The 27001-nt window shown below is 45.9% G+C and overlaps 1 protein-coding gene across 1 annotated transcript in view; it reads right to left on the bottom strand.

The window, feature by feature from the left end:
• The window catches only part of CD8B2 (CD8B family member 2), a 56934-nt gene that overhangs the window by 5691 nt on the left and 24242 nt on the right, over positions 1-27001 (bottom strand). The window lies entirely within an intron of this gene.

Genomic DNA, 27001 nt, shown 5'->3' with positions numbered 1-27001 from the left:
CTACTCAGGACACTGCTCGGCTCTAGATAGCGCAAAGGTGAATTTTCCAAGGTAAATGCACTTTGTGAGATCTCAAGTGCCACACAGATTCACAGTCACCCTTATTACAACATGGGGAAATTTTAATCACTGCTAATAGTAGATGCTCAAGTCCTAAGATCTTATGAAACAAGCCAAGAAAGCTACTTCTGATCAATTTTAAGAACAAGTAAAGAGAAAAGCAGGCCATTTGTGTACCGTTTCAAGCAAAAAGCAACAAGATGAATATTCTTCATGTATACATAGCCTACATAGGCTGAAGGCTCCATCTCAAAATTCCCCTTCACAGCCTAAACCTTCCTCAGCCCCTGAGTTGACCACCCTGCCTATACCGTATTTTCCCGTTTCTCAAATCACTGGCAAGTGTTATTTGGGAATTGAGTCATATTGGCTAGTTTTGTGCCACCATGAGGAAGCTTGCAAGGTCTTTGGTAGTCAAGCTGATGACTTACGCTTCCCTAGACCAGCAGCTTTGTCTGGGCACACCCAGATGCGTGCAAACACTTTGAGCACTGAAGGTCCGCAGGCCTCCGCAATCACTGAGCATTTGAGACTCCTCTGGGGCCATGCATCCACCAGCTCTCAGCGCAGGTCAGAAAAGGAGCCTCACAGAGACTTCTCATTTATTTTACATTCATTACCCTGCTAATTTCCAAAGCGAGGTGCCTGAAGCTAGCTTAGCAACAAGCAGGCGTGACGGCTGTCCCACGGCTGATTCTGAATGTGCTTTGTCAGTGTGTTTGTTTTTCCTTCGTGCTAACTTTATCTTCAGAACCTATTAAGTTTAATCCCAGCAGTACTAATTAGAGGTGGCAACAACAGAAATCCTCTGCAAGGGCTTTTAGAAATCGACCGCCACTTCAGTAAGAACAGCCATGCTCTTCTTTTCATTCCTTGTCGCTTCCTCGGGCATTCCACAAGGAGCTACAATCTGGTGTTTAGAGAGCTGAAGGGCACTTATAGAACCAAGCTCTACACCAAGTAAAAAGAGATTTTAAGCATATGTGGATTCAAATGAGAAATCTGTGCAAGTGTGCCACACACCTCTCTTAACCTCATTTGGGGATTTCTGTGCATACTGTACTTAAAATTAAGTAAGATAAGCTGTTTTTAAGATGTCGTGTCTTGGTGGCGTTGAACCATAATTTTCTGCCTCCTCAGTGGAAGTTCAAGCTTGTGGTCATACAAGGAAATGTAAACTCTGAAACTGAAGAGCTTCACTAGGACTACTAGGGAAGTGCAAGTTTAGGGAAATGAAAGTTGTCTCCAGGGTATGACATCATCTGATGACCTTGTGATGAGCCCATGGTTTATTAAATGTGTTTAAAACACACATAGGGAAGTGAGGGGTGAGAGACGGGGCAGGTTAATAGCAGGGCAGCATTTGGGGGGAAGCCCAGAGCATGAGGCCTGGTTAGCACCATATTCACATGTCCTGTCTTCCTCTCCCACATCGGTTTTCCCTGCTGATGGGGTGGTGACGAAGACCAGATTTGGAGTTGGATCAGGGCCTCACAGACAAAGGGCACCTAGAGCCAACAGCACAGATGTGTCCTATTGGAGAAACACAGCAACTTGTTCTTCTGAGAGACGTACTGCACTGGCTATAGCTGCAGGTCGCCAGTTAGCCTGCTGGACAGCCACAGTTTGATTGGCATGCTCTGGGCTGATGCAGGGGTAACAGAGCTGTCAGTCCAGTGAGGGCATGATCAGTAACACTATTTGCGCCATCATATATTCCATGTAAGACTTCTGTCTTCAACACATCACACCCATAATTAACTCACCATTGAACACATTGATGAATCTGCCCTTACTTCACAAGCCACTTCTCACTCATTTCCTTACCGTAACACACCCTTTGAGATGCACCTGCACCTCATGAGCTGGCAGCTCGCCTACCCTCTGTGCTTAATATGCTTCTCAGTTTCACCCTTTTCATCTATTCATTGTTCTCTACAGCAAAGCTGAATATACTTGATACAGCAAAGTCATGTCACAGTAAGAATCTAAAGTCCATTAGGAGTAAGTTTTGGGAAACCTCTCCCACCAACCTATATCTAAGCTGAAATGGTTTGGGTCTGTGTCCCTGCCCAAATGTCATGTCAAATTTAATCCCCAAAGTTGGAGGCAGGGCCTGGTGGGAGGTGATTGGATTTTGAGGGTGGATTTCTCCCTTTGCTGCTGTTCTTGTAGCAGAGTTCTCAGGAGATCTAGTTGTTTAAAAGTGTGTGGTGGCCAGGCGCAGTGGTTCATGGCTGTAATCCCAGCACTTTGGGAGGCCAAGGCAGGCGGATCACCTGAAGTCAGGAGTTCGAGACCAGCCTGACCAACATGGAGAAACCCTGTCTACTAAAAATACAAAATTAGCCAGGCACAGTGGCACTTGCCTGTAATCCCAGCTACTCAGGAGGCTGAGGCAGGAGAATCGCTTGAACCCTGGAGGCAGAGGTTGTGATGAGCTGAGATTGCACCCTTGCACTCCAGCCTGGGCAGCAAGAGCAAAACTCTGTCTCAAAAAAAAAAAAAAAAAAAAAGTGTGTGTGGCACCTGCCTCTTCTCTCTCTTGCTACTCTGGCCATGTAAGACATACCTGCCTCCCCTGCGTGCCTTCCACCATTATTGAAAACTTCCTCAGGTCTCCCCAGGAGCAGAGCAGAAGCCTCTATGCTTCCTGCACAGCCTGCAGAACTGTCAGCCCATTAACCCTCTTTTTTCTTTTTAATAAGTTGCCCAGCCTCAGGTATTTATAGCAGTGCAAGAATGGACTAATATATAAACCATTAGCTGGAATCTGGTGAATAAAATCTCTTACAAGCTTTAGAATGTTAGAGCTGGGATTTACAGAATGACAACTAGCAAATAACAACATGGAAAAATGTCCAGCTCCCCTGTTGAGTAGAGAAAAGTAGAAGGGCTTTATGCAACTGGGTAAGATGTATACCCAAGCGTGGGAACAAAGGAACACACAAGAATTTTTAAAATTGTATTACGGTGATGGAATTACGGGTGATGTTTTCTCTATTTTATAAACTTGCCTTACTGTTCTGATTAAAAAGTATGTAAAAGCTGGTAGGAGCCTCATCCATCACATGGGCAAACACCTTCAATTTCCTACACAAGGACCTTCTTTGCATAGTAGACTATTTCTGTTTAGCCTTAACTCTATGTTTTTAATATTGATGTTTTCTCTCAGGTGATGGCAGCCCTGGACCTCAGCAAACAACCTTGGTCTATGTGGCATTGGCCTGGAAATGAGTGTCTGCAGCCTGGAAATTTAGATCTTAAGTGTGCTCTTGTTGCAGTGTCTGACATGCCCCCAAACGACTGTCCCTAGAGAAACATCTGGGACTGTGAGTAACACACATGGAGAGGAAGAGAGGGAGGAAGCCATGGATTTTTCCAAAAGGTACCGTTGGGACATTATATGCAAAACATTAGGTCTTGGCCGGGTATGGTGGCTCATACCTGTAATCCCAGCACTTTGGGAGGCTGAGGCAGGTGGATCACTTGGGGTCAGGAATTTGAGACCAGCCTGGCCAACATGGTGAAACTGCATCTCTACTAAAAATACAAAAATTAGCCGGGCAAGGTGGCACATGCCTGTAATCCCAGCTACTCAGGAGGCTGAGGCAAGAGAATCGCTTGAACCCAGAAGGCGGAGGAGGTTGCAGTGAGCCAAGATCTCACAACTGCACTCCAGTCTGGGCAAAAAAGCAAGACTCTGTTTCAAACAAACAAACATTAGGTCTCAAAAATGTTTCTCAATTTTAAAAATATATATTCTCTTCCAGTGTTTTGAACTGTAGCTCCTACCTCCCCAGGGAGCTTTTATAATGTTGAAACACTAGACCCCTGCGACAATCAGCCCGGAAGACAGCAGCACCTCCGAGCAGCCTTCCTAGCTGCTGTTTCCTAAGTCATCAAAAGGGCTAGCTCTGGTCCCTGGGAACCCGGCGTTCCCCTGGGCTTGCCATCCCCCTTCTGTCAAATTCACCAGTTCAGCAATCAGATCAAGTCCCTCTCCTGAGGTTGTGAATATTGACAACAGCCTAATGCATTATCACCCCTCCGTTTGCTTCTTCTGTTACAATGAACAAAATTCTATGGAGTCACCTTCAGTCAGAAGCAATTTGTTATTGTTGTTGTTGTGTTGTTGTTGTTGTTGGCATCGGATCTTTTTCTTTCAGAGGGCTAATTTATTTTAAGGCTGTAAGTGCACTAGAACTTAGTTCTTCCTCAGGACCTTAAGTTGTTCTATGGACCAACAACTCTCTCCCTCTCTCTCCCCGCCTCTTCCTTGCTTTTCTCTGCATATCCATTTTGTTCCCTTCTAACCAATGACTGCATGACTTTCCTATCTGCTCCAGTGAAGGCTGGGGAGCATGAGTCTGGTCATCCTAGCTAACGTAGCTCTTGTAAGGTTGGGGTGCTGGGGAGACCCACTGCCCAGGCCTCGCTCCACCCACAGTGGTTCCTGCTCTGCAGACTGGGATTTGTAACTGTACCTACACCTGAGTTTTTATGAAGTTCCATGTGAAAATTTATGTAGGACTCCCAGCAGGAGGCTTGCCACATAGTAAGTGCTCAGTGAAGATTAGCTGTAATTCCTTGTACACATTCTTAATGATGGATCCCAAGAAGCCTGGGAATTGGCCATATCAGGGTCAGGTGCCCAATGTCCACCTGTGGCAAACTTCCCAGTGCTGCTTCCCTGAGAAGCCTTTCCTTTGGGGAACATCCCTTCTCCCTCCTACTGTGGCTCAGGTCAGCTGTTTGCCGAGGAACTCTCCCATTCAACCAAGGGTAGGACTTACCTGGGCTAAGCCAATCAGATTTCAGACAACTAAAAGGTCTCCATTTCCTTTCCAGCTTTAATTCTTCTTTTCTGTGTACTATTTTAGCATTTTATCTGCTCATCCTTCCACCCTCCCCTGTTCCTTGCTTCTCCAGGCCAAGCTGAGCTGAGATCCTTGTTTTAGCTGTGCAGTAAGGAGGGGATGGACAGGATAAACAGCTACAGCTCCTCTGGCCCAGGAGACACACTCCTTAGGCAAGAGACCCTGTGTAGCACGGGGTCTCTGAGGCATAGGATTTCACAGTTCAACTCTTTCCTCGTCATCACCAACGTTTACAAAAGGGACTGCACACAACTGTGAACTCAACTGCTTTTAATATTCAGAATCAATCCCTTTACTTAGTTTTAAATCCTGGTCTGCTCCCTAGCCAGTGGCTGCAAAAGGGCTCTGAGTTTCGTCCTGTTCCTTTAAAGATGTTTGGAATTTGAGTCTCTCCATGATGTTAGAGCAAGTGCTGCCCAGATGACCTGAGCCCTATCCATCTGCAATCAGAAGCCCTGGTGCCCCCGGATTCTGCCCTCTGTGGCATTCCTGTCCCCTGGGACCACAGGTGCACATTTAACTAGCTGTGTTGCCTCGACCCCCAGCATGGGCCTGCTTCACATCTTGGAGAACAATTAAGACCCTCCCATCCTTTTTCTCATTTTGGGCCAATTACTAGTTCCAAGTATTGCCACTCCTTGTCTCTCTGAAAATCCACGTTCAGCAGCTTATTCTCTGGTGCCAATGTCAGAGGTGTTTGAACCAGAACAACTCCATCTTGAATAGGGTCTGGGTAAAATAAGGCTGAGACCTGCTGGGCTGCATTCCCAGGAGGTTAGACATTCAAAGTCAAAGAATGAGATAGGAGGTCAGCACAAGACACAGGTCATAAAGATCTTGCTGGTAAAACAGATTGCAGTAAAGAAGCCAGCCAAAGCCCACAAAAACCAAGATGGCGATGAGAGTGACCTCTGGTCGACCTCACTGCTACACTACCACGAGTGCCATGATAGTTTACAGATGCCATGGCAATGCCAGGAAGTTACCCTATATGGTCTAAAAATGGAAGGAATTCTCAGTTCCAGGAATTGCCCACCCCTTTTGCAGAAAACTCATGAATAATCCACCCCTTGTTTAGCATATAATCAAGAAATAACCATAAAAATGGGCAACTGGCAGCCCTTGGGGCTACTCTGCCTATGGAGCAGCCATTCTTTTATTCCATTACTTTCTTAATAAGCTTGCTTTCACTTTACTATATGGACTCGCCCCAAATTCTTTCTTGAGCAAGATCCAAAAGTCCTCTCTTGGGGTCTGGATCCGGACTCCTTTCCAGTAACACCAATATCTGTATTTGCTAGGATTCTAGCTCGCTTTAATAGAAAAAAAAATGTGTAAAGAGAATACCTTGAAGTTTACAGAACTGGACAATTGGCTTCCAAAAAATCAGGAACCAGAGCTCCAAAGCCTATCAAGGTCATGGCCATTGAATCCTCCCCTCCAACAACCAGTCGTAATGGGATTCTACTAAAGATTCAAAGGAGATACAGAAATGTGCTTTTTACACATACAAACTCCGGGAAATATTTGTGGAAGTGGATTTTGACAGGGCTCAGCTAACTGTGCTGGAACAAAATGTTAGACTGAGCTGAATCTGTGCTATGGTTGCATTTATCAAGAGGGCGGTTGGGTGTGCAATATGCACAGCTGGCTGGAGATCTGTTACTTTGCTGGGATGGCGGATGCAGACCTAGGCTGAAAGCTGGCCTGCGGCAAATGACTTCAAAAGGCCATGCATTCCTTGCTATAACGAAAATGAGGGAAATCAAAGGCCTGGGGAGACTGGAATGCTGGGCTGGATGTAGCTTGTTTGTTCTACCCACACACACACTCTGCTCCCCAGAGAGGTTCCCTTCATGTAGACCTTGAGGAAAAGGTTGGGGAAGAAAGTGCAGGACACTTTAAAGAATCTGTGCTGGCTGTTCTCACTGGACTGGAATGCCCATGGGAGAGGCTTCAGGATCGCACTGAAGAGAAGAGCCAGGGTGCAGCAGTGACCATCAGAGGGAAAGTAGCTGGGGCAATCTAATAGTGAATCCCATACATTTCCCACCCCATGACCTAACCAGGCTTGAGAGGCTCACATGGCCCTAGGGACTCAGCCTGCAGGACATCATCCTGGCCCCCTGCAGGGGCAGCATCCTGGCTAGGACCCTTAGAGCAAGAAATAGTAGGTTCCAGGACATCTTGGATAGAACTCGAGAACTCGTGTGATAGAGGACAGAAAATAAGTGCAACAAAAATAGAGGCACCTGCCCGTTTCAGCGTCTGATGTTTCAGAATTTGGGGCAATTGGATTATTGCCCAAAGGAAAAGGAAAAGCAAGTGGTGTACCTAGTTCCCACTACCACTAAAAAGGGGACCCAACACTGAGAGTATCTCTTCAGATTTGGGGGACGGTATCTACTATGTCTGAGTGTCATGAGCTAAATCACTTTCTGGATGACTCCCAAAACCTAGTCTGAAGAGCAGAGCAAATTCTGCTACTTGATCCTTTAGATGTTGTTACAGGAAAGGGGTCCTGATTCAGACCTCAAGAGAGGGTTTTTGGATTTCACGAAAGAAATAATTTAGGGTGAGTCAGTAGGGTAAAGTGAAAGCAAGTTTATTAAGGAAGTAAAGGAATAAACAATGGTTACTCCATAGACAGTGCAGCCCCGAGGGCTACTGGTTTCCTATTTTTATAGTTATTTCTTGATTATATGCTAAACAAGGGGTAGATTATTCATGCCTCCCCTTTTTAGCCCATCTAGGGTACCTTCCTGACATTGCCATGGCATTTGTAAACTGTCAAGGAGCTGGTGGGAGTGTGGCAATGAGGATGACCAGAGGTCACTCTCACCGCCTTCTTGGGTTTCGTGAGATTTAGCTGTTTCTTCACTGCAACCTGTTTTATCAGCAAGGTCTTTATGACCTGTGTCTTGTGCCAACCTCCCATCTCATCCTGTGACTTAGATGCCTTAACCATCTGGGAATGCAGCCTAGCAGGTCTCAGCCCCATCTTACCTAGCCCCTATTCAAGCACTTTGGGAGGCCGAGCTGGGTGGATCACGAGGTCAGGAGATCAAGACCATCCTGGCTAACAGGGTGAAACCCCATCTCTACTAAAAATACAAAAAAATTAGCCTGGCGTGGTAGCGGGCGCCTGTAGTCCCAGCTACTCAGGAGGCTGAGGCGGGAGAATGGCGTGAACCCGGGAGGCGGAGCTTGCAGTGAGCCGAGATCGCGCCACTGCAGTCCAGCCTGGGCGACAGCGAGACTCCATCTCCAAAACAAAAAAGCTGGAGTTGCTCCTGGTTCACACGCTTCTCACAATGTTAGGCAAAACCTCCCTCCCTGTTCCTCAAAATTTAAGTTAAATTGGCTAAAGTAGCTCATTGTCAAGGCCTATGGAATTTCAAAGCCCTCCTTCGATTTCTGGGACTGTTCAAGGTTTGCGCCCTCAAGATCTCCTCTAGTTCTGGGATCCGTCCTTCACAGGAGTGCCACTTAGTTACAATACTGAAATGTGCACTTTATACAATAGGAAGGGACTGAACTTCAGGTAACTGCTGCAGTCCTCATACCGGCAGCAGAGCCATGCTGGCATCCACTACCTTCTGTTCCTACAACCCATTCCAGTTGTGTTCACTTTCTCAGCGGGTGAAACTTCTCCATCAGGTGGGATGACCTGATCCTTCATTCTCAAGGGTATGAGTACTTCGTAGTCCCACTTATGTGGTTTTGCTATGGTTTTTCACTAACTTTGACTGCTACACCTGCAGTACTGGAAAGCACACTGAGGATCCTTGAGTTCCAGGAAACCTCATCGCTGCTTGCCCTGTGTGATGGCAAAGACAGAGCTCCCTCAGTGATCAGGATCACCCACCCCAGCCAGTGTGGGAATCTTCTTTTGAGCCTGTTCACCTGTGATGCATGGAGCTAGGTGTCAGTCCCAACTTCCAGTTCAAAGGCACCACTGACATGTCCCTTGTGGCAAGCTTGGTATCCAGTGTCAGCCAGAAGGCCATGTTAGTAGCCTAGGTGAAAACAGTAGTGACTTGGACAAAAATATTGTAATGGAGATAAAGGAAAATGGATGGATTTAAGAAGCATTAAAGAAGTAGAATTTCCAGGGCAGGTGGTAGATTAACTTGGAGAGTGAGAGAGAAGGCATCTGGACATCAAAGACATCCTCTCTCACAGCTGGCTGCACACTGGAGGAAACTTACCATTTCTGGGCATATGGTACTTGAGATAGGTCTGAGAATGGGTCCTATCTTATCAGTTACAGATGAGAAATGCTCATTAAGGGGATACCAAGGACAACTAAGAACAACCAATGCTCCATCTTCTAAAGGGCAACTGGTCCCTCTCTGCTTTCAAACCCATCCAGGCTGGAGAGCCAGCCCCAGATTCCCTTTCCCTTTGGAGTCTTTCCTGCGGCCACTTCTATTAAATTTACTCCATTTATCAGTTTACTTAATCGCAGATAACAGAGTCTTCTTTAGCTAATTTAAGCAGAAAGACATTTGTAAATTATGTGTAGAATCACTGGAGAGCAAACTTCCAGCACTCTCAGAAACACATCACAAAACCCAGATTTCCAAGGGAGCTGCTGCCTGTGCCGCCCTCAAGAAGCTGCAGAGCTCAGGAGCTGCTTCCACACTTGCCAGGTCCTAAATCACTCTACCCTTGCCAGGATCAGAAAGGCGCTATATCAGGAAACTCGTCGAGAAAACGGGAAATTACACCTACAGCTGCAGGTTTCAGGATCGTACTGTCTCTGCCACAACCTACCCTGAATCTCCTCCCATTTGGTCCATTTCCGAACCAAAGTCTTACACAAATGCACTTTATTGGTGGAACCTAAATGAAATTGGAAAGTCTATTTCCAATGCCTTCCAAGATGCTGAACATCTGAAGGGAACTGGAATAGGCTGAGCTAAACAATCCACAGTGTCTGCCACACAGTTTATTGATACAAAGTAAATATTCACCAACAGCTAAAGAAAATAAAATACAGAGACTTTAATTATTCATGAGCTATTCTCTTTTTCATTGTACGAGTTGTTCTTAAATCTCTACTCATATTTCCATTGAACAGACTGCAGATTCTCCTTTGAGCTCATCTAATGATCTCTCTTGCTCCTTGCAAAAGGATATACATTTCTTTTCAATAAGTGGTGCTGGAACAACTGAATAACCACATACAAAAGAAAGTAGCTGCAACTCTTCCTTACAACATAAACAAAAGTTAACTCCAAGTAGATATAGAACTAACTGTATGAGTTACAACTAAAAAAAAAATGAGGAAATAAAAAACAATGACACAACAAAATAAACTCTTAGAGGAATACATAGATCTTCACTATCTTGGTTTAGGCAATCTTCTTCAATATGATACTAAAATCACAATAACTCTAAACTACTCTTACAACTCAATAAAGACAATAAAAAGACACATAACACAATTTTTAATGGGCAAAGCATCTGAGGAGATATTTCTCCAAAGTCAATATACACAAGGCTAATAAGCACATTAAAATATGTTCAATATTTATGCAGGATTTTTCTTCTCAGTCACTTTGCAAGCCAGGGGCCCCCCAGTCGGTGATGCCCGGCCAGCCCTGCTCACCTGAATTATAGCTTGTACCCACGTTTAGCGGTCCTTGAGCTCTTATACCTCACCCAAAAAGAATGAGGATATGCTGGACATTGAAAGGTAAGGAAAGCAGAAAATAATTGCATTGAGCCATGAAACAGCTTTCAGCAGAGAGGGGGTGTGGAGGATGGTCCCCCACTTTTACAGTTGGGTGGTTCTCTCCTCCCTGCGAGGCTGGGTCCTGGGCTGTCTTTTTGTTTGTTTGTTTGTTTGTTTTTTGTTTTGTTTTGGTTTGTTTTTGAGACAAAGTCTCGCTCTGTGGCCCAGGCTGGAGTGCAGTGCTGCAATATCGGCTCACTGCAACCTCCACCTCCCTGGTTCAAGCAATTCTCTGCCTCAGCCTCCCAAGTAGTTGAGATTACAGGCGGTGCTACCACGCCCAGCTAATTTTTTTGTATTTTTAGTAGAGACAGGGTTTCACCATCTTGGCCAGGCTTGTCTTGAACTCCTGGCCGCATGATCCACCCACCTCGGTCTCCCGAAGTGCTAGGATTACAGGCGTGAGCCACTGTGCCCGGCTGATCCCAGGCTTTTTATTGGCTCGGAATAGGGGAGGGGCAGACTGTTGGTAGCATTAGAAAAGGCAACATTCGATTGCTTAAAAGGCATTCTTCAGAAAAAATCAATCTGGAAAGGATGGGAAAACAGGAACAGAAGTTCTGAGCCTGAGTTGCAGGAACCTGCGACCAGCAGTCTGGTTTTTCAGACTTCAGGCCGTTTCAAGACCACAGTGAGATACCACTTCACAACTCTAGGATGGTAATATTTTTTTTTAAGAAAAAAGTAACAAGTGCTAGCAAGGATGTGCAAAAATTGGAACCCTCTTACATTCCTGGTGGGAATGTAAAATGGTGCAACTTTAGAGAATAGTCCAGCAGTTCCTCAAAAAGTTAAATATAGAAGTTATTATTTCACCCAGCAATTCCTTTTCTAGGTATATATCCAAGAGCAATGAAAACCAATGTTCACACACAAGTGTACACTAGAATGTTCATAGTAGCATTATTTATAATACCTCAAATGTAGACATAATCCAAATGTCCATCAATTAATGAGTAGATAAGTAAAGAATGATATATTCAGCGGGGTGCCATGGCTCACGCCTGTAATCTCAACATTTTGGAAGGCCGAGGCAGGCAGATGACCTGAGGTCAGGAGTTCGAGACCAGCCTGGCCAACATGGTGAAACCCTGTCTCTACTAAAAATTAACTGGGTATGGTGGCACATGCCTGTAATCCCAGCTACTCAGGAGGCTGAGGCAGGAGAATCGCTTGAACCAGGAGGCAGAGGTTGCAGTGAGCCGAGATCACACCATTGCACTCCAGCCTGGGCAACAAGAGCGAAACTCTGTCTCAAAAAGGAAAAAAGAAAAAAAGAATGATACATTCATACAGTGGTATACTAGTTGACAATAAAAAAGAATGAAATACTGACAGGTGCTACAACGTGTATACAACTTGAAAACATTATGCTAAGTGAAAGAAGCCAGTCACTGAAGTCCACATAGTGTATGACTACATTTACATGAAATGTCTACGACAGGCAAATCTATGAAGACAGTAAATTAGGAGTTTCAGAAGAGGGGGTGGCAGGCATGTCAGGGGTAAATGGCCGTGAATGCTAACAAGTATGGGATTTCATTTTGGGAGGTGAAGTGCCAAAGTTGAAAGGTTAATTCTGTGATGGTTTCACCACTCTGTGAATATACTTTAAACTATTGAATTGTATACTTTAGGTATGTGAGTTGTATTCATAAAGTGATTTTTTTTTTTTTTTTGAGATGGAGTCTCGCTCTCTTTCCCAGGCTGGATAGAGTGCAGTACTGCAATCTCCACTCACTGAAACCACTGCCTCCCGGGTTCAAGTGATTCTCCTGCCCCAGCCTCCGAATAGCTGGGACTACGGATGCATGCCGCCACACGTGGCTAATTTTTTTGTATTTTAGTAGAGACAGGGTTTCTCCGTGTTGCCCAGGCTGGTCTCAAAGTTCTGAGCTCAGGCAATTTCCCGCCTTGGCCTCCCAAAGTCCTGGAATTACAGGCGTAAGCCACCACGCCGGGCCAAGTAATTTTTTTAAAAAAAGTGTATTTTATATCTTTGGCCTCGTACAGATAAATCAATTGACAAATTCTCTGTCCTTCATTGCACTTCACTGCGGACTCTTATATCTTATCTCCCTGCTGTTTCCACACTGGGATGGAAAAAGGAGGTGCTGGTTATTGAGTACTGATACAAGCTATAATGTGGATAAGCTTTGAAAATATTATGCTAAATGAAAAGCCAGTCACAAAAGGCCATATTATACATTATTTATATAAAATATCCAGAATAGGTAAATTCACAGAGACAGAAAGCAAATTAGTGGTTGCTAGGGACAGGGGAGAGGAGGGGATGGAAAGTAAACTGTTTAATGAGTCCAGGGTTTCCTTTGGGGGTGACGAAAACGTGGTAGAACACTATCTATAATGGCAATGGCTGCACAGTCTATCACTGCACTAAATGCCATGAACTGTTCACTTTAAAATGCTTAAAATGATCAATTTCATGTCATGTGTACTTTTCCATAATAAAAAGAAAAATAATTGCTGTATGATGCTTCAGTAGACCAAGTTATGATAGATAGGGTGCCGGTACTGCCTATGCCCTGAACAAACATGCCCAAGACCTGTGTGGAATCTGGGCCCATAGGGAAGGTGAGCAAGAGTGAAGTTTATTAAATGGGACCCAACAGGATAATGAGTTCTGGCCTAGATCAGGTATTGATTGGAGAGAAGATTCTCTAACTAGGTGAGCGTGGACAAGATTTATGGATGAGTGAATGCTTTGGCAAACCCTGGGCCCATTGATTGCATATCTCCCACTGTGGGAGACTCCACTGAGCAAAATCTGAGCAGTGTATTAGACAACAAACAGACCTGAGCCAGAGGGCAAAGAAAAACCTCAGAAAGAAGGGCCTTTGGTTCCAGTTGGTGTCTCCAGCCCTGTGCATGACCCATGTATGTAGAAGGAAGGCAAGACATCTAAAAAGCAGTTTAACTCTTACAGACTGCTGGAGACTGGCTGAGGAGAGTAGATGAAGAGAAATACTGGAGTGGGTGCTCTGAGTCCTGGCTGCGTATGGGAGGGACGTGGGCCTCAGACATGATGGGACCTCTGCCTGGGGTAGGGCAGAGGCACCCAGTTTTCCAGGGGATTCCCATGTGCAGCCTGGTGGGGAACTGCACACCAGAGGTACAGTTTGCACTGGCAAAAATAAAAATAACAATGCGCAGCAGCCGGAAATTCCACTCAGAGCCTGGAGATGCAAGGGATGATGAAGTGCTCTTGAGACCACTAAGAGAATATACTTCTGAAGCAGCAGCAGCAACTTTAGTTTAAGACCCATAATGTGCACTTGGGCTCTCACTGCTCCAACTATGGTCCTCGGAGCAGCAGCACTGGACCACTGGGGCTTCTTACAAGTGCAGAGTCTCAGGTCCCACCCACCTCCTGAAACAAGAGACTCAGGTGATGCCTAGTCACATTAAGGTTTGGAAAGCACCACTTCAGGACGGTGCTTCAGGAATCGGCTGAGGGCAGTTCTCCAGCTGAACACCCTTCAACAGAAGGAGAGGCCTGCCTTAGGCTTCCCAGGCCTGGGCTGTGCCAGAAGCCACCAAGCCCACAGAAAACAATGCCCGGAAATAAAGCTCAGCCTCAACCCAGGCCTCGGGCATCAGAAACAAGAGCATGAATATACAAAGGGACAATGGCCTGACCATGTATGAAAATAGAACTCTGACCCACAACCTGCCCAGGAAACCAGCCCCTTATCTACAATAACCAGCCCAGGAAGCCAGCCTACTATTATGTCAGGCTAGTGGGAAGTCAAGCCACTATCTCTAGCAACAATCCAGGAAGCTAAATCATAAGCCCTGTAACAATCAGCCCCACATGGCCGACACTTGATTAGTGACTGACACATTTCCTCTTTTTTGTCCCTATGAAACCTGCCCAATTGTCTAAGAGAACTGATATTTACAGGACTTTTTGAATAAGCATAGAAATTTACTCTCCTAGGCTTAACACTTGAAAGTTACATTACCTAATCGGATGGAGCTCAAGGGACTGAAACTCACCAGATCACCACATCTAGACAATGAGACAGCCGACCCAATGAGAAAGCAATTCATCTTGATTGCCTTCTTACACCTTCCTCATTCCTTCCCCCTTGCAGCTACGTCTCTTCCTGTGCTATATAAATACCCCAAATTTACTCAGGCAGAAGGATTTGAGACTTACCTCCTGTTCTCCTAGTTGATGTCACCTGAATAAAAAGTTTTCTTCCCTAGCAATATTCATTGTCTCAGGGATTGGCTTTCTGTGCAGTGAGCAACAGGACCTAGACCAAACTCCTGATGTTCTTGTAACACCAACTTTCAATGTAGGACCAACCCTAGAAAGCCAAACATTGCCCCCCAGTGCATCACACAGGAGGCCCTATTTCTAGTTAGCCATCTGCAGCTACCCCAGACCGACAGCCTCCAGTCAGGGCACATCTGAACCTTCCCTTCCTTCTACGGTGAGGCTTTCCACTCCTCTGCCTGCCTTTGAGTCTCTGCCAAAACACAAGTGACAGTAGTTGACCCCCCCTGCTAGAGCAAGCTCTGGATAAATAGCCTTGCTTTTCTCATTTGGTTGGGCTTTGTCTACTTGTACAGAAACTTGGGGCTCAAAGAGGAAATGAACAGGATAGTAAGGAAGTTTTACCACACATAAAGCCAGGTGATCGAGGATCACTTGGTAGCAAATTTCTCATCTTTGCAAGATGGGAGCAGTGTCTCAAATGTTACTCTCTTTCTCAGAGAACACAGGGTTTGTTCTGTGTTCGGGGAATTTTTCTCCCTGGTAGGATCAGCAGACTGCCATATTTGAGCTCACCTTGAGAGCTCCCTTGCCAGTTGGGTTTGAGTTCAAAGACCATGGCAAAATAGACTACATAATTTATGTGGCTTATTGCAAAATAAAATTTAGGCCCTTTAAAATCATTAAAAATTTTGAGAGCAATAGCAGAACTTTAAGTCAAGTGGGGGTCTCTAAGTTCCTGGGTGCAGTGCAGTTTGTGCCCAGGAAGACAGCCCTGGAGCACATTCTCTGAGCCCCTGACGGAATGATTGCCTGGGATTCAGTGGGGCAGGGAACAAGGTGCCTGCCTCACTCAGATATTGTTCAGTCTCTGCTACGGTCTTTGCAAACCTACGTACATAATTCTACATTAACTGCTCAGGGATGGAAATTGGTTCATTTTCTAAAAATGTCAAGTAAGGCCTGTGAAGTATGTGAGTCCCAGTGGCTCTTTGACACTTTCAAAAGTAAAGACATGGGAGACTTGAGGTTAAACTAATTCAGCTTAGGGCCCTGTGGAAAGCCCTGAGAAGCAGTACAGCTGCTAAAGGGACCCCAGACCTGACTTTACCAGCACCCAGAACTCCTTGGCAAAGACTGAACAGAGTAAGAAATTGAGAATGGTGCATTTTCACTCCAGTACCTTTGGACTTTTAACTCACAAGAGCAAAATAATTTGATTTTGGACTGAGTTTAATTTGCCAGGTGATTTAATTGGTGACTTATTCTTCACAAAAATTTAACATATATTTAAATTGTGGACATCTCTATGTTTGGGGAATTTTATTATTGGACTCTCTTTAACCATCTATTATTAGAATATCACTGATATTATTTAATCTTATTCCAGAAATTCTGATGTCATATTTTGGGAGAGGAAATAAAATCAGGAGTGACTTTTTAGCCCTGTGTAGAGGAGAGCCATAAATTTAATTATGTAATGGCACTGACCTTTTGAGAGCTTCTGAGGGCTAAAGTCTACATTGATCATCAGCAGGTGAAGGAGGAGAAACAAGCGAGTGAGATCCGGGGATCAGCTTCATGAAGATGGGTGGCACTGTCTGAAGAGCTTTCAAAGATCTTCCCTGAATGTGGGCAGCTGCGGACTTCATGTTTCTTCTCCACGCATCAGAGCAGCGGTCCTCAGCCGAGCATGCTCCAGGCCAGCAACTGCACTGTCCCTGGGAAACTGTTAGAAGTGCAGACCCCCAGGCCCCACCCAGACACTCCATGGTTGGCCCAGACACCAGTGTTTTCACAGGAGCCCCAGGGGACGCCGATGCAGCTGAAGTTTGAGAACTACAGTGTCAGAGAATTAAAATATAGGGAAAACTAGGACTAGAGTTATCTTTCCCCATTTCTGATCATTCCCATCATGGGGAGGGTTTTCCATAACCTGGGTGACCAAATTCTCCGGATTCGCCTGGGACTGCCCAAGTTTCAGAACTGAAAGTGCTGCCTCCTGGAAACCACCTCTTTCCTAGACAAACCAGGGTGCTGCTCACTCTAGCCACATGGGTAAAGCACCAGGCCTCCCTCCACGTTCTCAGTCACTTCTCTTGTGGGATTTATCTGATTGGAGTGATATAAGAGTTAAGAATAAATTATACAGGCAGACAGTGAGGGTAAGGAAGTCCTCGGTAAGGTTTTCCTTTTAATGAAAAGCAGCCCCCATATCATTTTCTTTTCTAACAAAGAGCAGCCTGTAAAATTGAGCTGCAGACATAGACACGCAAGCTCGAAGCTTTCACAGGTGAATGCTAGCAGCCGTGCCATTAGGAAAAGGCTACCTGAGACTAGGCATGATCAAAATGGTGGCTTCATCTTCCCTTCTCTTTGCCAGCCACTTGTGCAGTAGGGAGCAGAAAACATGGTGCCGGCCAAGTGGAAGGCTCCATTGCATAATACGATTAGAGTGTGGTGGCCAGCTTCTCCACTCACTATGTAAACGTCACACCTGGTCCAACCAATCTGTGGGCCCTATGTAAATCAGACACCACCTCCTCAAGCCTGCCTATAAAATCCGATTCCCATTCGGCATCTATCTCTTTCCATTCTCGCATCTGTCTCTCTCTCTGTCTCTCTCTTTCTCTCTCTCTCTCTCTCTCTCTCTCCCTTAAAACATTATGATTTTTTTTTTGCAATTTTTTCTTAGAGAGAGAGTTGTTCTCCTATCTCTTTCTTTTGCCTATTAAGCCTCCACTCTTAACTCCTTTCTCTTTCTTTTGCCTATTTAAACCTCTGCTCTTTTTTGTTTTGTTTTGTTTTGAGACAGAGTCTCACGCTCTCGCCCAGGCTGGAGTGCAGTGGCATGATCTCGGCTCACTGCAACCTCCACCTCCCAGGTTCCAGCGATTCTCCTGTCTCAGCCTCCCGAGTAGCTGGGATTACAGGTGTGGGGCACCACATCCGGCTAATTTTTTGTATTTTCAGTAGAGACAGGTTTCACCATGTTGGACCTCAAGTGATCCGCCCACCTCGGCCTCCCAAAGTGCTGAGATTATAGGTGTGAGCCACCATGCCCGGCCTAATCCTCTACTCTTAAACTCACTCCTTGTGTGTGTTCATGTCCTTAATTTTCTTGGCATGAGGCAACAAACCTCGGATATTATCGCAGACAACAAGGCCACTTCAGGAGGCTTGAAAGACAGCCAGGCCATGTGCAACCTAATCCCCCTTGGCCTTCTGAGAACCACCTACCCCCAGTGTCTCTGGTCCCCGAGCCTCAATGATTCTGGAAAGGCCCCAGGTAGGGAAGCCTGAGATGGCCTTAGGACTGTGGGGCAGGCAGGCAATGAGGAATCTGTGGTTCACAGCACCTTCTGTCATTTTTCAGTCTCCATCAGCGGATTCCTTTGTTTCCTCATGTTTTCAAATGGCTAAGGAAAACAGATTTTATTTATTGGGTCTCAGAAACCTTTCAATAATCATTGAGTATATAAATGTTTATAAACCAATATAGAACTATAAAATGAAGAATGAACTATAATTTAGACAAGGATACACTGTGTCGTGAGAGAGAGTGTTTGGAGGTAAAATGTTCTAAGCCCACACTGAAGTTGGTCTACACTGTCCTGGGGTGATTCAGTTGTCTAACTAGGGCCATAGGATGAAACCACATCCCAGCGGGTGTAGGCAGGGCTTTCCTGAGGTGATGGATGTCCCCGCTGGCTAACTTGCTGATAAGCCTGCTATCAAGCGGAACAGAATGGTACACAAAATATGTCTTAGACCAAGCTTGTCCAACCTGTGGCCCACGGGCTCCATGTGGCCTGGGAGGGCTTTGAATGTGGCCCAACACAAATTTGTAAACTTCCTTAAAACATTGAGTTTATTTTGCAATTTTTTTCTTTTTTAGCACATCTGCTATTGTTAGTATTAGTGTATTTTATGTGTGGCCCAAGACAGTTCTTCTTCCAGTGTAGCCCAGGGAAGCCAAAAGATTGGACACCCCTGTGTTACACGAAGGTGGACGGGGAAGCACTTCTGCTCTCTGGGCCTGCATGTGTTTGGGTCTCAGCGTTGGGGTGTAAGTTCAGAGCATGGTCTTCGTCACAGGGTTGTTGGGCTCACTCTGCCTTAGGCATCAGGGCTGAACACTAGTCAGGAACGCTCTCCATCAGGCCACATTCACTGGAAAGTTATTCTCTGTAAGGCGCTTCCCTTATATTACCCCGAACCCTCAATACAGGGCCTGGTTCAGTGATGTTATGAGGAATTAAGAAAATAACTGGCCAATGTTTGAGACTCAGAAGTCAAAGGATGTGTTTCTTCCCTGGAGACAGTTTCACTGAAGCAGTAGTGGTCAGCAGGCACAGACAGCCAGGCAGTCATCACACAGTGATCACCCACTATCCCCCAAGGTGGCCAGAGAGATGAATAAATCTGAGCACCATGCTGGAGGCTATTCAGAAATGCCTGGGATAACCTTTGAGGAGGAGTCCAGCAATCAGGTCACAAGGACTAAAGCCTTAGTAATCTTATTGTTGTAAGTGTACTATTAAAAATATCATCTAATTTGTAAACATCTTGATGAGGCCTATAGAAGATGGATGGATGGATGGATGGATGGATGATGGAGCAGTGAATGGAGGAATGAATGGATGGAGGGATTGATGGAATGGTTGAAAGGATGAAGGGAGGATGGAGCAATGAATGGAGGGATAGATGGATGGAGGAATTGATGGATGAATGATGGATCAATGAGTGGAGGGATGGAGGGATGGAGGAGTTTAGGGGATGGTTGGAGGGCTGAAGGGAGGACGGAGCAATGAGTGGAGGGATAAATGGATAAAAAGATGGAAGGATGGATAGTGAGAGAGAGAAAATGTAGGAAGGAAAATGGATAGAGCAATGGAGATATGAAGGAATGGGTGGATGATAGACGGAGGGATAAGTAGAGAGAAAAGGAGACAGGGAGAAAGGATAGATGGAGCAGTGAATGAAGGAATGAATGGATGGTGAATGGATACATGGATGAATGGATGGATAGATGGATGAGGACAGGGAGAGATGAATTAATTAATTTTAACTTCTCATTTTTTCTAGAAAATAATATTGGTTTGCCTTACAGAGAATAGTTGGTATTATAATTTATACTACTCGGTATTCCTCTAACAAATCAACATTCTGAAACCAATATGAGTTGATTAAGTAAAGAAAGTTCATCTTCCAGGGCTCAGAACCTATCACTTTTTCATCTAATGAAAAACTGGACTCCTAAATGAGGATTAATATTGCTGAGCTATTGCTCCTTCTCTTTCAGTATTTTCAGCTATGTCTTTACATCTTATGCCCTACCTACTGTGCAATTCTCAACTGACTGATTGCTTTGTAACTCCTAAATAATGTCCTCCTATCAAAGCTGCCGTAATTAATCCTCTTTTCTTTCCTCTGAAAGAGTAGAAAATATTATTTTCATTTTCTAAAGAAGCCCAAGTCAAGGAACCCTCCTACCATCTCAAAGCTCAAATAAATGTTTACTACCTACCCACTGCATACAAGACACCATGCTAGGCTGGGTATGAAATAGCAGGATGAAGAAAATCTCATCCCTATGGCCCAGGAATTCAGAAGCCTCAGTATTGTTACAGTGTTGCAAGCTCCTTAAAAGAGCTATAAACAGGCTGGGCGCGGTGGCTCCCGCCTGTAATCCCAGCACTTTGGGAGGCCGAGGCAGGCGGATCACGAGGTCAGGAGATCGAGACCATCCTGGCTAACACGGTGAAACCCCGTCTCTACTAAAATTACAAAAAAAATTAGCCGGGCGTTGTGGCGGGCGCCTGTAGTCCCAGCTCCTTGGGAGGCTGAGGCAGGAGAACGGCGTGAACCCGGGAGGCGGAGCTTGCAGTGAGCCGAGATCGCGCCACTGCACTCCAGCCTGGGCGACGGAGCGACACCCTGTCTCAAAACAAAAAACAAAAAAACAAAAAAAAAACAGAAGCTATAAACAAAGCGTGCTGTTATTAAAAACTATAGGAAGGGACATTTTTGAGTGCCTGGCTACCTGTGAACCTCCCCTGGGCAACCCCAGAGAACTGGGGAAGGGAGGCTGACGGGGCTCTCTGTGGGGAGTTGGGGGCTCAATGTTGCGCAATTAAGACTTGGATTTTCATGTTGGTGTTAATTTCCCGTCTGGTGACCTGAGACAGTGAGATGCCACAGGCAACCGAGAGTCAGCGGAGACGTCTTAGCATGGAAGTGGCGTGGCCGGTATACTGTTAAAGAAACAAAAATGTCAGCAGGGCCTAAGCAGAAAGAAGCGAGAAATCAAAGATAGTTCGGGGTATGGGGAAAATCTAAAGCCTTTAGTCTGTAACTTGAAATGGGGTCCCGAATAGAGAGGATGTCAAAAATGCCTAGGCTGGGGGAGTCGGCATGACCAAAGGGATAAAATGTGGAAAAACAAGACTATTCTCCAGAAAAAGCAGGAGCCCAGGATCAGTGAAGCAAGCTGGGGGTGAGAGGAGCAAAGGAATGTGCCAAAAAATATGGAAGGAAGCTAGGAAATTAAATAATAATAAAATTTGAGTAATAAATGAATATTAAAATTAATAAATATTATTAATGAAATCGATAATATAATGAAATATTTATTTCATGTATATTAATTTTCATATATGAAATATATAAAATATATCATGTATTAATCTTCATATATGAAATATATATTATATATTATATAAGTACATGTTATATATAATATATCAATATATACTATTTCATATATTATAATAAAAATATGAATAATGCATATTAATAAATTCTGAATAATAAATTTTGAAAAAGCCTGGTAATGAAAGATCATTTAGAATTGAAATGTTTAGGTTCCAGTCAACCATTTTTTAAATTTCATGTTATTTAAAATATGCACACAAGTTATATGTGTGGTATAACTTATGGCTGTGGTATACAAACACTCCAAAAAATAAGTGCCCCAAACCCCAAACAAAGCAAAGGCTTACGAAAGAGCTCTGGATTTCACAAGTAAGTGCTAACAGGCAGGGCGATAATGGTGTCAGAGAAACACCATTGCCATACACAGCCACTCCGGAAGACAATATTTATACTTCTCATCTTTCTATTTATTTGACAGCATCACTCACAATAAGTGCTTGAGGGATAAATACTACAGAAAGAACCCTGACCAGGACACATACTGCTATAAAACCGGCCATTGGTGTTATCAAATTGGGACTCAATATTTTCACAAACCAGGGGTACATCGGGAAAGAAGGTATCGGGTCAGCTTAGGCCTGGGTATGTCATGTCCTCGGAAACCCAGAGGCCACGTGAGCCTTCCTACTCACCCTCAGGGTGAAGGAAAGGTGCTCCTTCGCTTCAGGATTTGTAAGTACCTTTGGTTGGTGAACTCAGCAAAGCTACTGTGGATGTCCCCCTGGTGCTGCTGGGAAAGGAATGCACAGACAGAAGTGAGATGCTGGCGGTGGGGTGGGGCAGAAAGGGCTCCCATCACTCACATGCTCAAACCTTCAAAAAAGGAGTCCAGGCCCAGTGCAGTGGCTCACGCCTGTAATCCCAGTACTTTGGGAGGCCAAGGCGGGTGGATTACCTGAGGTCAGGAGTTCGAGATCAGCCTGACAAACATGGTGAAACCCCGACTCTACCAAAAATACAAAAAAAAAAAATTAGCTGAGCATGGTGGTGGGTGCTTGTAATCCCACCTACTCGGGAGGCTGAGGCAGGAGAATCGCTTGAACCCTGGAGGTAGAGGTTGCAGTGAGCTGAGATCACGCCATTGCACTCCAGCCTGGGCAACAGAGCAAGACTCCATCTCAAAAAAAAAAAGAGGAGTCTAAAGTGTGTAAAGATCTCCAATTCTGGAAGGAGATGTGTTCAGAAGAGGCTCAGATTTCTTGATGCTGTTGATCCTGTTGACCTTCCCTCCAGACATGGGGGTGTAGAAAGATTCCTGAGAGAAGTCTTAGTCTGTTTGGGTCACTATAACAAAAATACCATAGGCTGGAGGGCTTAACATTTATTTCTCACAGTTCTTGAGGCTGGGAAGGCCACGATCAAAGTGCTGGCACAGTTGTTGTCTAATGGGGCCACTTTCTACTTCATAGATGGCACCTTCTCTCCGTATACTCACATGGCTTAGAGCAGAAAGAACCTGGTCTCTTCCTCTTCCTCTAAGGGCACTAATCCCATCATGGGGCCTCTACCCTGCTGACCTCATCAAAACCTAACTACCTCTCAAAGACCCCACCTCCAAACACCATCACATGGGGGCTAAGGTTTCAACATGAATGTTGTGGGGAGCACAAACAGGGCAGTCTATGACAAAGAGCAATAAGCTCCTCAAGAGTGGGTACCAGGAAATAGGCTACACCTAATATCTGTCCAGTGTTAGCTGGGCAGTCACAAACCCAGCTACACAAGGACAGCCTCCATCCCAGAAAAGTAATGCTCATCTGTCCCATCTTGGGTTGTGGTGGGAGAAAGCAGAGGTGCTGTGATGGTTAATATTAACTGTCAACTTCATTGGATTGAAGGATGCAAAGTACTTTTCCTGGGTGTGTCTGTAAGAGTGTTGCGAAAGGAGATTAACATCTGAGTCAGTGGACTGGGAGAGGCAGACTGTTTTCCACAAAGCTGTAGCGCTCGATTATTCCAGCATCAGCAACACCTGTGTGCCCTTGGCCACAAGCTTTCCAGCAGTGAGCAGCATCACTGTTTTACATTTTTACTCACTCAGTGACATTTGTATGCAAATGACAGATTATTATTTTTCTGGAAAATGTATGCTTAACCATGCCAGAGTCATAAAGAATGCTATGAAAAAGATTTTGGTGTAGAGGTCATGGCAGAAGAAATGAGAACGTGTGAATCAGCTTTCTTCTCTTACACACACACACACACACAAAAGTCTTAACTGAGCTTGGATATTAAAAGCAGTGTGGGGGAGAGGGTGGGGAGGTTTGGAGTTACCATCAGGAGCGTCTGACCAGGCTCAAACGTGGGATAGCTGTCCATTGAACAGCCCTGTATGTCACAATGACTAGGAAAAATTTATAAGACAGACGTTCCAGGCCGGGCACAGTGGCTCACGCCTGAAATCTCAGCACTTTGGGAGGCCGAGGCAGGAGGACCATGAGGTCAGGAGTTCGAGACCAGCCTGACCAACGTGGTGAAACCCCGTCTCTACTAAAAAATACAAAAATTAGCTGGGCATGATGGCGCGCACCTGTAATCCCAGCTATTTGGGAGGCTGAGGCAGGAGAATCGCTTGAACCCGAGAGGCAGAGGTTGCAGTGAGCTGAGATCGTGCCACTGCACTCCAGCCTGGGCAACAGAGCAAAACTGTGTCTCAAAAAAAAAAAAAAAAAAAGACAAGCGTTCCCCTGCACCCACCCCACCAAATCGCCTGCCACACACAGAAGCACACACAGGCGCACTCTGAAATTACACAGATAAAAGGCCGACAGTATTACTCCCTCTCCCACTGATAAGCTCCTTTCTGTGCTCGGTGGGGCTGGCAGACTTTCGATGGAGGAAGATGGAACTGCCAGAGTGAGCACTGGCTCTGGTCTGAGCCACTGTGAGCCTTTCTTCTCTCCTCCTTCATCCCCTACACCACAAGATAGACCACCCAACATGGCTTTCTGAGTTTCTAGGGAGCTGGGCTTTGAGCAGGGCCCACAAAAGGACTTCAACCAAAGCCTGCTTGTCTTGTGGAAGCCACCCTCCCTCCCTGTTTCCAAACCAGAAGCATCAGTGTGGCTGCAGGGTAGGTACTCAGATAGAGGCGGGGACAACCCAAACTCCATCTTCTGCCCTGGCCCAGCTAGAGCCTTCGTGATCCGAAGGTAGGCCCACCTTTTGTGCTGATCACGTTTACTGTTGCTCTCCCCTCCCCATGTCCCCCAAACTTGGCTGAGGCTGAGGTAAGGGTGGAGGGGTGGGAGTCATGGCCTCCCTTTTGCCTGGTCTGGTCTTGCCCAGACAGCAGGCCTAGCCCAGCAGGCAGCTTCAGGCTTGCAGGATGCTGAAGGGGTGCTGGGGAGGGGTGTGTGGGGAAGAGGAGCCTCCACCCCTCCACCAACACCACCTCACATCTTCCCCTCGTAACTTTGCCCTCACCCAACCGCAGAGACCTCCACAAAATCTGTAAGAGGCTGTGAACAACACTCCCAGCCAAACACAACTTTTTTGAGAAGGCAATCCATGCCCTCTGCTTGTGTTGGCATCACCCGGGTCTTTCTCTGGTCTGTCCGGGGCTGGCACGAGGCTGCAGCCAGTGAGGCACTGAGGCCACTCACTCTTGGAGCCACGCAAGTGCCAGCCTTGAGCCTGTGTCCCCCTGGTCATGAGAATGAAAGCCCGTGGGGTTAGGGACATCTTCTGAGCCAAATCTTTAGTGTCTGAAACACATGCCTGATTGAGATCTGAGTTGTTGAACTTGGTTCTCTAAGGGGATTGTCCATTGTACTTGGCAGAGTAAACATCCCGAGTGGTCCTCACAGCCTTGAGGAGCACAGAAAGGTGGGTGGGCGGATGGGTGGGGGAGCCAGCAGAGGAGGTGCTGGGAGGGGCAGTGGAGAGGGAGGGCTGTGCTCTCAGCTTGTGGGGGCCTAAGGACTTTCTATCTGAGCCTTTTGCTTTGTTCATTCATTCATTTCAATTCTGGCCTCAGGCTTAGGAGTGATTTGTACAGGTGGCAGGAAAGAGCCAGAGGACCCCTACAGGCCTCGGCCCTGGGCTACTAGGGAGGGAACTGAGGCCTAGAGGCTGTAAGCAAGACTGCGAGCCCTGGGGGCCCAACTATGTCTATCCTGGCCATGCCGCACCCCTAGTCCCAGCACAGGGCTGGCTGGGCACACAGAAGTTTCCCTAAATAGATATATTTGAACCAGCATCAAGAAACTTAAGGGATTGGGCATGGTGGCTCATGCCTGTAATCCCAACACTTTGGGAGGCTAAGGTGGGAGGATCGCTTGAGCTCAGGAGTTTGAGACCAGCCTGGGCAACATAGCGAGACCTCATCTCTACTAAAAATAAAAAAAAATTAGCTGGGCATGCTGGTGAGCACCTGTAGTCCCAGCTACTTGCTTGAGTCAGGGAGGTCAAAGCTGCAGTGAGCCATGATGGCCCCACTGCACACTAGCCTGGGCAACAGAGCACTGTACACACACACACACACCCAAGGAAGAGGAGAATTGAGTGCAGAGTTGTGGGTATTAGTTCAGTCATAAATAGGGACAGGAGTGGAAATGGTCTACAATTAAAAATGCATGAAAAGGCCATGTGCTGTGGCTCATTCCTGTAATCCCAGCACTTTGGGAGGCCGAGGCGGATGGATTGCTTGAGCCCAGGAGTTCAAGACCAGCCTGGGTGACATGGGGAAACCCCATCTCTACCAGAAATATAAAAAATTAGCCAGGTGTGGTAGTGCATGCCCATAGTCCCAGAAACTCAGGAGGCTGAGGTGCAAGGATCGCTTGAGCCGGGGAGACAGAGCTTGCAGTGAGCCATAAGTGCGCCACTGCACTCCACCCTGGGTGACAGAGCAACACCCTGTCTCAAACAACAACAAAATTACGTAGAAGAATGGACATGGTTTCCTTTCAAATTTAGAAGTCTAAGCAAAGCTCTTAAAAGGGTACTCGCTTGTGAAAGGCAGTAAACTAATGGGAAAAGCAGGATCCAGGAGAGCCAACAGTACTGTGGAGGATGTAAGTGTCTTTTTCAGCGCCTCTGCTTTCAGCTTTACAGGAATCACACGTGTCGTGCATATTTCTGTGAATCTCAAACCGACGCAGGGCTGAGGAATATGGTTTCCTTCTGTTTGAGTTATGTAACTGGGAGGACTCCAGGAACCAGTGACTCACGGTTCCCCGGGAGTGTCAGTGACGCATCGAAGGAGGTTTCCCAAGAAGCGACAGAGGAAATATCTTTTGGAAGGCCTCTGAAGACAGGGCTCTTTCTGTCTTTCCCTTTGACTGGGTGGTAGATTCGGATCAGCTTTGCAGCCCACGCGGGGTCGGGGATCACTTTCTGAAAACAAGTTGC

The sequence above is a fragment of the Homo sapiens genome, chromosome 2 (assembly GCF_000001405.40).
Source record: "Homo sapiens chromosome 2, GRCh38.p14 Primary Assembly".
Classification (NCBI taxonomy): Eukaryota; Metazoa; Chordata; class Mammalia; order Primates; family Hominidae; genus Homo; species Homo sapiens.
The sequence above is the reverse complement of the archived record's forward strand: the minus strand, read 5'-3'. Positions and strand labels throughout refer to the sequence as shown.